General features: G+C 37.4%; 1 annotated feature.

Moving 5' to 3' along the window:
* Positions 522–1,721: an enhancer, noted in NCBI's record as "BRD4-independent group 4 enhancer chr11:95092304-95093503 (GRCh37/hg19 assembly coordinates)". NCBI's record gives its function as "activates an origin of replication core promoter dependent on BRD2, P300/CBP, MED14 and CDK7 cofactors, and independent of BRD4, by STARR-seq in HCT116 cells {active_cell/tissue: HCT116}" and the evidence as "EXISTENCE:reporter gene assay evidence [ECO:0000049][PMID:35650434]".

Genomic DNA, 12,967 nt, shown 5'->3' with positions numbered 1-12,967 from the left:
TACTCATTTTATAAGGTTCTATTTTTATCCCTTATTTCCTCATTTTATTTTGAAATGTTAAAGGGCTCTTAAGTCCTTTTGGAAGTTGGCAGGATATAAATCCCCAAATGCATAAAATAAAATATATTGATTATGAACAGCTTAATTGGCTAGAGCCTGGTTCAGGAGAAAGAATGTAGTTGCAAGTATGCGGGGCCCACAAGGAGAAAGATCTCGAAAGGGTGTTCACAACCTTTCAATGGGATTGCTTCCTATTTGAAATTGCCAATGTCATGACTCAAGAGGAGGGAGTTGTGAAAGAGGAGGCATCCAACATAACTCACTTACATTGGCTTTCTTCATTTGAATGTCGCCAGATTTAAATGTAAATGTTATATTAGCACTTTGGAGCTTCTAGAAGAGAAAAATGTATATGCTGAGCCTCCCAGATTTGTTTGGTTTGTCAGTTGTTTTCTGGGCTTGCTTTTTCAAATAGCTGATGCGTTTGTCTGCAAGACAAAGAAATGAAAACAACAGGGAGTTTTGTTTGTGGTCCTGTGAATCTGGCCTCATCAATTACAGCTTCCAGAGCAGTCTGATGTTAACCTGTCTAAAAGCAACAGGGAGAATAGCAAAATTCTTTGGCCACACTTCATGCTTTTCCATCAGCTCTCTACATCTAGCCCTTCTTCCTGCCACCAACTTTCCACAGTCATTCATTCAACAGGTATTTACAAAGTACCTCTTAGGATGCCAAGTACTTCACTAAGGGCTGGGGATAGTATGAAATCAAACATCCCTGCCCATCTCTCCTTTGCCTTCATTCCACATCCCCCCAAATGAAGGCTTAAAAACTTACATCTTCTCCAGTACTTCCTCCTGAAGCACAAGAGAGACAAGAACAGGCTTGCCCAGCTTGAAGAGGAGGGTTGTGTGAAAGGTCCCACCATGAGGAAAGTCCCAGAATACACGACTGCAAGAAACAGGTAGGGAGTAGTGAATGGGAAGCACGTTCATATCTCTACCTTTTCTTTCTTTGGTAATCTGCTGCTCCTAGTAGAGGAGAAAATGGAGACCTCATGTGGACTTAGAAAAGTCTAAGCTGAGAGGCCTGATTTGGAAATAATGAGATTATTCTGATAATGAGAATGAACATCTATATGATTATTTAAAATCCACAGAGGGCTTTTATATGCACAATCTCAGTGAATACCCAAAGCACCCCTAGGAAAGGTGTTAGGATCGCCTTTTCCTAGACAGGAAAGGGGCTCAGGGAGACTTGGCTTTACTGCTGGAAATTAACCAACTGGGGCTTTAACTTCTCCCTCCAAGAGCTTTGCTTCTCTCTCTCTCAAATCCAGGGCTTAGAGCAAGCACAGTGCTGCCACAATTGAGAAGAGGCTGCCTTGTACAAACTTGCACATAATATCTTAACTCAGTCTTTTTCCAACACAGGCAGCCTTCAGCTTTATGTAAGGGAAGGAAAATCCTGTGAAAAGGAATCATGAGCCTAATCAACAGAGAAGGAAATGGAGGTTGGGAAAAATTAAGCAAGTTGCCTCGGGTCACATAGCAAGAAGTAGTGGAGCTGGAATTTGATGCCCAGCCAGTCAATCTGACGCCAAAGTACAGAAGCAGGAAAGGCCCCGCTGCCCTGGCAGTGAAGGTAGAATGAAGCCTGCATCTGTCACCATGCAACAGACAAAAATACTGTGCTTAAGCCAAGAATCCTGGGTTGGAATTTCAGCTATGTCACCTCCTAGCTGTGTGACCTTGGCCAAGTCTAGTAACCTCTCTGATCCTTTAGCTGTAAAATAAGGAAGACAGGGGTGTAATGTGGATTAAATATAATAATGTGTCTGCATCCAGTGTACATACACTAAAACTCTATACCGGGTATGGAGGTTCCCAGAGGATGATGAGCTACAGCTTACAAAGAGAGAATACAGCAAAAAGTACAGATACCTGTGGACAAGTGCCCTTTGGAATAGGCAAACATTGACTAAAATAAATGAGATGCTTTAATCCTGGGTCTGGCCAAACCACCTAAGTCCTCGCAAACCAATGGGTGCTTTCAGGGCTAAAAGTTAGCTGCAAAGCCCCAGGCCAACACTGATTACTAAAACAGGTGCTTAGTGCTGTGGCAAGGGAGTGGCCTTTCTTCTTCTCCTGGGAACCCAATATGGCTTTTCTGGCTGCATTTCCCAACAGCTGCTGAAACTTCCCAAGTGCTGACATTTTACCCAGTCCCTTATAACATACTTATGTAACTTTTCTGATCTATTTACTTTGCTTACATTTTCACCTAAAGCTTCTGATCTTTTAAAAATTATTAGATGCATGAGGATTCCACTCATCCCCTCAACAAAATATCAGTTGAGTCCCTACTGTGTCCCAGAGCAATTTAGAAGAGAGGAACTGGCGCATGACACAACTTTAAAAACACCAGAAACTTACATTTTGTAAAGTGGTAGGACACAAAGTGCAACACTGTGCAACGCTGTTTTCTGGGTCATTTCTTTACAAGTATATACAATTCTTCCCTTGTGTTTGCATAGTTTACATCTAGGATCAGCTTGATTATTTTACCCAGTCTTTCTATGGCCATCAACATTCTCAACTTTCCTAAAGTCTAAGTTAAGTCCCTTTCGAAGACAGTTTTATTGTCCTACTTCATTTTAGGGAAGAAAACGCTAGAAAGCTCTCAGATTACCGGTGTGTTGTGTGGCTTTCTTTCCTAAAATGTAGTAATATGGAGTACTTTATTTAGTATCCACATAAATACAACTAAATCACACTGATTCAAACAGTTTTAACAAAGTGCATCCTGTCATGCAGGTAACTTTGCTCTTGCAGTCTTCCACTTCTTTGGTTAAATTCAAAAGCGCAAACTCAAAATTCAGCTAAGGGCTTTCATCAAGAAAAGAGCTTCTAAGTACTCACAACATTCAAATTGTATAGGATACAGCTTTTGAGAGTGGTGTACTGTGTTTTCAGCAGCAGTAAGATTTGTTCCTTGAGAATACATCTTGTACCATGTTCACTAAGCCATCAAAGTAAACCAAGAAGGAGGAGGGAAAAGAAATTAACAACAGGACCGGGTAAGGTCGAACATTCCAAAACAACCAAGTCTCCCTCAGCATTTCCATAGAGGCTACATCCCTAGACTCTAGCTCCAGCACTCCCTCAGTGTGAACAAGTGGTTTCCCACAGGTCTAGCTCAGATCATTCATTACGGCCACCCTCCCAGGCACCTGAATGAACACATTGTGTTATCCTCATCCTCAGAGTCACTTAAAATGTTTGAATCTCTTTTTCAAGAACTATTCTCATCAAAAACCTTCAAGGTTCAACTCCTTCAATATGATTCTAACCATCTTTTCCTATCTCCCATTCCTTTCCCATTGTTACCCAAAATTTTGGTCCAGCTGAACTATTCAGCATTTCTTGACCATGGCCCAAAGCTCACTGCTGCTAATTCTTGGCCTTGCTTCTCCCTCTGTCTGGAACATCCCTCCTCCATTCCTCTGGCCATTGAGCCTATAAAATCCTATCCATCCTTCAAAGGCCATCTCAGTGCTACATTCTGAACAAAATCATTTGAAATCCTTTGAACCTGATGTGATTTCTACACTTTTATCACTTCATTCCAGCCCTATAGCATTTTGCCTTTTCTTGTGACATTTCTCATTCTGCTTATGATATTGTAATTCCCTTGAGAGAAGAAGCAATATCTTATCAAGTTTTTAACCTTCTAATACATGGCCTATGATCCTGGCCCAGGATAGAGTCCAAGTTTTATGATATTAGATGGTGCTACAGCACACCTTTCCTACTAGAACATGTACAAATACAATCTTTTTCTGTTCTCTGGTATTGTGGAGAAAATAAAGACTTGAATAGGACACAGAGGAGCTAATTAGATAGCCTTGGATAAGTCCGACTGGAGAAGTGAGGGTATAGGAAGCCTGTTATAGCCTTGGGGTAAACTGTTGGCTCTGCAGATGTGCCTCTAGGAATGCAGGTACATGGCATTGCTGAGGCAGATGGCACTGCGTGTGCCCAGTGGATAAAAGACTTTAAAAATGGCTACATCCAGGTCTCTTGGCCATGCTGGAAATTTGGAGTCAGTGCAGTTTTCGGGCATTCTGACCAGGAACAGAGTTGTCAGAAGTGATTTTATGACATGCTTTGATGAAAAATGCACCAAAAACATTGCCCAGGAATATATATATATGACACCGAAACAGTCATAATCTTAAAATTAAGCCAGGAAAACTGCCTAGACTGATCAGAAGAAAAGAAAAGATGGCTCCACCTCATTCTGCCTAAATACAGCTTTTTATTTTTTTAACGCTATCTCCAAACTCCCAAATATACTTAGGTGCAGAGATGGTGATCTGAACTGGGCTATAGAAGTCTGGGTTCTAGCTTGAGATCCTACATTAAATAGTTAGGTTACTTTGGGAAAATGACTTTACCTATCCAAGTCTCATGTTCTCAGCTCTAAATTCTAATAAACTGACATAAAATTTAGAAATGCTACAATTCATCTCAGTTCTACTCCTAATTCATATGTGGCTTGGTGTAGTCTCAGCCACTCATTCCTAAAGTATTTTCCTCCTTTGGCCTTTTTCTTGTATTTAATTATTTAATACCAGAGTTTCTCCTCTCACTTTGTTTCTTTTAGCACACTAGAACCCTCGGGGACTATGACTGCCGACCCACTAAGTTCTGTTCCTGGTTACAATTCCACGGGGAACTCTCACCCTTTCTGGGACTCTTCAGATCAACACACCATATGATGAAACTGTTTCTTGTGTTTCAAATGAACAAGAAGAAGAGAAAGGATTCCATATGTTGAGGAATATCACATAAGTGGGAAACCACAGTCCAGGTCCCACCACCCCTTTCTCTTAATAACAAAATACAGGGAAGCCCAGTACTTGAAGAATGTTTAACCTTCATGGGCATTTGGTGCAAGAATAAAAATCCACATGATTAGAGGATAGTTCTCACTTATACCTAAAATGCTATTATTAAGTGAAATAGGCCTTCAAAATCTAAGGACATGGATGGTAGTGTATTTGCAAAAGATCTACTTTTGTATATTGCATGATGGTGACGCATTTAACTTTTAAATGAAACCAGTGCTCTTTAGGTGTCAACAGCTAACTAAAAGAAGGCAGAAAAGAGAAGTACATGGATTTGGAGCTCAGAAAAGTGAAATTTTTAAAAGAAGCAATTGCTACGGCATTCAAACGTTGTAAAAAAACAAGGATGCGTGCTAACATTTTTCGAATGTCTAGTTACATGATCAATCTTGTGATAATTGTTTTCAATAAGTTATGGTATTGAATAGCCACAAGAACCATATTTCAACCCCATTTTGAATTTGGGGAAACCAAAACTAAAACAAACATCCAAGTCCATACCACCTGATTTCAGAATCTCTCTTGTTTTTTCAACACCATATTCTAAGTCCAGAATGTGGCCTCAAGAAGTCTTCAATTTCAACCAGCCCTCCTTCTTCCCTCATGTTCGTCCCTGCTCCATCATTACTGTTTCTATATCATCATTGAGCTATGTCTGTCCTGTTCTTAGAATCCTACATTTAAGACTTTCCATTACATTTGTTGATAATCCACTTCAAGGGCTAAAATCCTTTATGATGAACAGCCATTTCCATAAGTACCTAAATCCCTTTTGGCGCTATTTCAACTCAGTATTTTTACCCCCAGGTGTGATTCATCTATCCACTCATTTATAGCTGACCCAAACATACTTTTCAAACTTAAATCTTACTGCTCCCTTTCATGGATGTTTTAACATTTTTTGTTTAAAAATAACATAAGAGACCAGGCGCAGTGGCTCACGCCTGTAACTCGAGCACTTTGGGAGGCTGAGGCAGGGGGATTACTTGAGGTCAGGAGTTTGAGACTAGCCTGGCCAACATGGTGAAACCTCGTCTCTACTAAAATTACAAAGTTAGCCGGGCATGGTGGCGCGTTCCTGTAATCCCAGCTACTCAGGAGGCTGAGGCAAGAAAATCGCTTGAGCCCGGGAGGCAGAGGTTGCAGTGAGCCGAGATTGCACCACTACACCCCAGCCTGGGTGACAAAGCAAGACTCTGTCTCAAAACAACAACAACAACAAAACTAAAAATAGAACTACCATATCCTCTAGCAATCCCATACTTGTTATTTATCCAAAGGAAAGGAAATCAATATATCAAAGAAACATCTGTGTCTCCCTGTTTATTATTGCACTATTCACAACAGCTGAGATATGGAATCAACCTGTGTCTATCAACTAATGAATGGATAAAGAAAATGTGGTATATATACATAATAGAATAGTATTCACTAATGAAAAAGAGTGAAATCCTGTCATTCATGGCAACATGGATAAAATTGGAGGATATGTTAAGAGAAATAAGCCAGAAACAGAAACCTAAGCACTGCATGTTCTCCTCCATATGCAGAAGCTACAAGAAGTTGATATCATAGAAGGAAAAAGTAGAACAGAGGATACTAGAGGCCAGGAAGCATGAGGGAAGGGGTCATAGGGAGAGATTTGTTAAAAGATACAATTACAGGTAGATAGGAGGAACAAGTTAGAGTATTCTATACTACTGTAAGATGATTCTAGTTTCAAATAGCTAGAAAGAGGAAATGGAATGTTCCCAATACAAAGAAATTATGAATATTTGAGATGATAGGTACACTAATTACCCTGATCTGATCACTATACAGTATATGTATGGAAACATCATTATGTACTCAATAAATATGTACAATTATTATATGCAAATTTTAAAAATAAAATTTAATTTAATAAAAGGAAAAAATAAAATCATAACAATCCTCAAAAGCCACCTCAAATAACTGCAACCTTTGCAACTTTGTCATTTTTCCTATGTCTGTTTCCTCTTCCCTCCCAGTCTGGAGGTTCTGTGAGAGCTGAATTCACATCTGGTTCATCTTTGAATGCCCAGAAAATGCAGTAAAATATTTAATAAATGGTAGAGAAAATAATTCCTCAGGGGAGAAGATGTTTTCCTTTCAGTTAAAAACTTAAAGATACTTTTTAAATTTTGCTTTGCAGCTTATTTGCTTTCTCTTTTCAAAGATAAACTATTCATACACCCTTTAATAATCCCTCTTGAGCTCAATTTTAAAATATGTGGTTCTTTTCTGTGAAATTGAAGAGGCCCTAAATCTGTCAGAGTAGTAACTGGGGAAAAAATGAAAATAGAATCACAGTATGTCAGAGTTAGAAGAAGCAAGGTAGCTTTACAGGAGGTGGAGGAAACTGTGTGGAATCACCTAGCTGGTAATGTTTCAGAACCAGGGCTTTAGCCTGGGCATCCTGACCCTCAAACAACCCCAAGAATCATATTTGACATGAAGGTTGCATGTGTCACTGCATATATACAGTAAGAGTCATTTCTTTTGCTCTCAATCTCTTTTAATTTTAACACAAAATTCCAATTTGGCAAAGTAGTGGCCAGACTGGTAGAATAAGGCCGTTTGAATCCTAAAAGCTTATGTGAATCCAATCCCAAAATGAAATATTTTCATCTTTCCTCCTTGGCCTAGGTTAGTGGGGCTGGATCAGCTATGTGACCATGTCTATTTTGAAGGTCTATAAACCAAGAAGTGGAGAGAGGGCCTGTTTGCACTCCCCCATCCGATCTTTACCCTACTCCATTCTGTCCTGGGAGGCTGACCCATGTGGACTTCATCACCGTGGTTACTTTGTCCCCTGTTTTCCTATTTGGTTTGGTCACTGGTATGTTTTGGCAAGTGATCAGAGGGAGGGAGAAAAGTAAGTTTGGGGTATTTATTCTTGTTGCTTCCTCCCCCTTGGGTTGCTGCACACTGTCCTTACCTTCTGAGGGCTCCTGTTAAGTGGCTGTCAATATGCAGCTACCTTCTCTGGGTTCTAGTGACAGCTCCCTCCCTTTGTGCCCTCAGGGTGTAGGGTAGTAAAGTCTCTCCAATAAGGCAAGCCCAGGAATACTGCACCATCCTTTGTTGGTTTCCTTAAACTCTGCCCACAATCCTATGAGTAGATTCTTCATTAAAGTCTCCTCCCAGTTTGAATATGTCATTTTTTCCCACAGTCACTACTCTGAAAGATATATGGATTCAATTTCACAGAAAATAACCAGATATTTTAAATTGAGCTCAAGAGGAATAGTTAAAAGGGACATGAAGAGTTTATCTCCTTATATATTCTCGTTGTTAATCCCTTGTCAGATGGGTAGTTTGCAAAAATTTTCTCCCATTCTGTGGGTTGTCTCCTCACTTTGTTGATTGTATCCTTTGTTGTGCAGAATCTTTTTAACTTAATGTGATCCCATTTGTCCATTTTTGCTTTGGTTGCCTGTATCTGTGGGGTATTGCTCAAGACCAAGACCAATGTCCTGGAGAGTTTCCCCAGTGTTTTCTTGTAGTAGTTTCATAATTTGGGGTTTTAGATTTAAGTATTTAATCCATTTTGATTTGATTTTTGTTATATGGCAAGAGATACGGGTCTAGTTTCTTTCTTCTGTATATGGATATCCAGTTTTCCTAACATTATTTATTAAAGATACCGTCTTTTCCCCAGTGTGTGTTATTGGCACTTTTGTCAAAAATGAGTTTACTGTAGGTGTGTGGATCGTTTCTGGGTTCTCTATTCTGTTCCATTGGTCTATGTGTCTGTTTTTATGCCAGTACCATGTTGTTTTGTTTACTATCCATCTGTACTATAATTTGAAGTGAGGTAATGTGGTTCCATCAGTTTTGTTCTTTTTGCCCAGGATAATTTTGGTTATTCTGAGTCTTTTATGGCTCCACATACATTTTAGGATTGTTTCTTCTATACTTGAGAAGAATATCATTGGTATTTTGATAGGGGTTGTATTGAATCTATAGATTGCTTTGGGAAATATGGACATTTTAACAATATTGATTCTTTCAATCCATGAACATGGAACATTTTTCCATTTTTTGGTGTTCTTTTCAATTTCTTTCATCAGTGTTTTATAGTTTTCATTACAGAGACCTTTCTTTTTTTTTGGTTCAGTTAATTCCTAGGTATTTAATTTTATTTGTGGCCATTGTAAATGGGATTACTTTTTAAATTTCTTTTTCTCATTGTTCACTATGGGCATAGAGAAATGCTACTTATTTTTGTATGTTGATTTTGTATCCTGCAACTTTACTGAATTTACTTATCAGTTCTAATAATTTTCTTGTAGAGTCTTTAGGTTTTTCCAAATATAAGATCATAGCATCTGCAGACAAGGATAACTTGAATTCTTCTTTTCTAATTTGGATGCCCTTTCTATCTTTCTCTTGTCTAATTGCTGTAGCTGTGACTTCCAGTACTGTGTTGAATAACAGTGGTGACAGTGAGCATCCATGTCGTGTTCCAGATCATAGAGGAAAGGCATGCAGGTTGTTCTCATTCAGTATAATATTAACCTCGGGTCTGTCATATATGGCTTTTGTTATGTTAAGGTATGTTCCTTCTATCCCCAGCTTTTGGAGGGTTTTTATAATGAAGTTTTTATGTTGAATTTTGTCAAGTGCTTTTTCAGCATTGATTGACATGATCATAAGATTTTCATCTTTCATTTTATTGATATGATACATCACATTGATTGACTTGCATATGTTGAAACATCCTTACATCCCAGGAATAAATACCACTTGGTCATGATAAATGATCTTTCTCATTGTTGAATTCAGTTTGCTAGTATTTTATTGAGAATTTTTGCATCAATATTTATCAAAGCTATTGGCTTGTAGTTTTCTTTTCTTTTTCCTTTTTTTTTAATGTGTCTTTGGTTTTGGTATCAGAGTAATACTGACTTTAGAATGAGTTTGGAAGTATTTCCTCTTTCTCTATTTTTAGGAATAGTTTGAGTAGGATTGGTATTAGTTCTTCTTTAAATATTTGGTAAAATTCAGCAGTAAAGCTATCAGATCCTAGGTTTTTCTTTACTGGGAGACTTTTTATTACAGCTTTGATCTCATTACTTGTCATTGGTGTGTTCAGATTTTGGATTTCTTCCTGGTTCAATCTTGGTAGTTTGTAATATCTAGGAATTTGTCCATTACTTCTAGATTTTCCAACTTATTGGCATTTAGTTGCTCATAGTAGCCACTAATGATCCTTTGAATTTCTGCAGTATCAGTTGTAATGTCTCCTTTTTTGTTTCTGATTTTTTTTTTATTTGGATCTTCTCTTTTTCTTAGACTAAAGGTTTATCAATTTTGTTTGACTTTTCAAAAAACAACATTTTCCTTCATTTGTCTTTTGTATTATTTTTAAAATTTCAATTTTTATTTATTTCTGCTCTGATCTTTATCATGTCTATTCTTCTACCAAGTTAGGGTTTGGTTTGCTCTTGCTTTTCTAGTTACTTAAAATGCATCACTAGATTGTTCATTTGAAGTTTTTCTTCTTTTTTGATGTAGACATTTATAAACTTTCTTCTTAGTACTGCTTTTACTGTATTCTATAGGTTTTAGTATATTGTATTTCCATTATCATTTGCTTCAAAAAATTTTTCAATGTCCTTCTTAATTTCTTCATTTACCCACTGTCACTCAGGCTTATTGTTTAATTTCCATGTATTTGTATAGTTTCCAAAATTTATCTTATTAATTTCTAGTTTTATTCCATTGTGGTCAGAGAAGATGCTTCTTATTATTTGAATTTTTTGAATGTTTTAAGACATATTAGACATATTTTCTGACCTAAGATATGGTCTATCCTTGAGAATAATCCATGTTTTGAGGAAAAGAATGTGTATCCTGCAGCTCTTGGATGAAATGTTCTGCGAATATCTATTAGACCCATTTGGTCTATAGTGCAGATTAACTCTGATGTTTCTTTGTTGATTTTCTATCTGGAAGATCTGTCCAATGCTGAAAGTGGGGTGTTGAAGTCTTCAGCTATTAATGTATTAAGGCCCATCTCTCTCTTTAGCTTTAATAGTATTCCCTTTATATAGTTGGGTGCTCCAGTGTTGAGTGCATATATATTTAAAATTGTTATATCATCTTGATGAATTAACCCCTTTAGCATTATAAAGTGACCTATATAGTGACCTTCTTTGACTCTTCTTATAGTTTTTGTCTTGAAATCTATTTTTTCTGATATAAGTGTAGCAACCATTGCTCTTTTTTGGTTTCCATTTCCATGGAATATCTTTTTCCATTCCTTTCTTTTCAGTCTATGTGTGTCTTTAGAGGTGAAGTGTAATTCTTTTAGGCAACAGATCAATGGGTCTTGTTTTTTCATCTGTTCAGCCAGTCTATGTCTTTTGACTGGAGATTTTAAACCATTTACATTTAATGCTATTATTGATAAGCACTTACTCCTGCCATTTTGTTCTTTGTTTAATTATTATTTTATTGTCTTCTCTTTCTTCTTCCTTTCTTTCCTGTCTTCCTATAATGAAGGTGATTTCCTCTGGAGATATGATTTAGTTTCTTGCTTTTTATTTCTTGTGTATCCATTGTATGTTTTTTGGTTTGAGGTTATCATGAAGCTTGCAAATACTATCTTATAACCCATTATTTTAACCTGATAACAACTTAACACTATTTGCATAAACAATCAAGCAAAAAGAAAACTAATAAAACTCTACATCTTAACTTTGTCTTCCTTTTTTAACTTTTTGTTGTTTCTATTTACATCTTTCTGTACTGACTGTGCCTTGAAAAGTTGTTGTAGTCACTGTTTTTGATTGATTTATCATTCAGTCCCTCTGCTAGGATAAGAGTAGTTTACACTTCACAGTTACAGTGTTATAATATTCTGTGCTTTTCTGTGTACTTACTGTTACAGTGAGTTATGTACCTTCACATAATTATTTGTCACTCATTAATGTCCTTTTCTTTCTGATTGAATACTCCCTTTAGCATTTCTTGTAGGACAGGTCTGGTATATTGATGAAATCCCTCAGTTTTTGTTTGTCTGGGAAAGTATTTCTCCTTCACATGTGAAGGATGTTCTTGTCAGATATACTATCCTAGGTATAAGGGTGTTTTTTTTTTTCCTCAGCACTTTAAATATGTTATGTTACTCTCTTCTGGCCTATAAGGTTCTCACTAAAAAGTTAAATCTGCTTGGTGTTCTGCAACCTTCTTGTTCTTGGATATTGATATCTTTATCTAGGTTTGGGAAGTTCTCTGTTACTATCCCTTTGAATAAACTTTCTACCTCTATCTCTTTCTCTACCTTCTCTTTAACTCTTAGATTTCCCCGTTTGGGGCCATTTACTCGATCCTGTAGGCATGCTTCATTGTTTTGTATTCTTTTTTCTTTTGTCTCCTCTGATTGTGTATTTTCAAATAGCCTGTCTTCAAGCTCACTAATTCCTTCTTCCGATTGCATTATTCAGTAAGCCAATTGCATTTTACAGCTCCAAAGTTTCTGGTTGATTCTTTTTAATTATTTCAATCTTTTTGTTAAATTTATCTGATAGAATTCTGAATTCCTTTTGTGTGCTATCTTGCATTTCTTTGAGCTTCCTCAAAATAGCTATCTTGAACTTTCTGACTGAAAGGTCACATGTCTCTGTTTTCCCAGGATTGGTCTCTGGTGCCTTATTTAGTTCATTTGGCAAGGTCATGTTTTCCTGGATGGTGTTGATGCTGGTGGATGTTCTTCAGTGTCAGGCATTGAAGAGTTAGGTATTTATTATAGTCTTTGCATCTGGGCTTGTTTGTACCTATCCTTCTTGGGAAGGCTTTTCAGATATTTTAAAGGACTTGGGTATTATGATGTAAGTTGTATCTGCTTTGGGGGGCATGCCAAGCCCAGTAACACTCTGGTTCTTATAGACTCAGAGGTATTACCTTGATGGTCTTGGACAAGATCCAGGAGAATTATCTGAATTACAAAGAAGGGACTCTTGTTCTTTTCCCTTACTTTCGCCCAAGCATACAGAGCCTCTTTCTCTGTTCTGAGACACCTAAAG

Source organism: Homo sapiens, chromosome 11 (assembly GCF_000001405.40).
Source record: "Homo sapiens chromosome 11, GRCh38.p14 Primary Assembly".
In the NCBI taxonomy this organism is placed as follows: Eukaryota; Metazoa; Chordata; class Mammalia; order Primates; family Hominidae; genus Homo; species Homo sapiens.
This window is presented reverse-complemented; position numbering and strand designations above follow the sequence as displayed.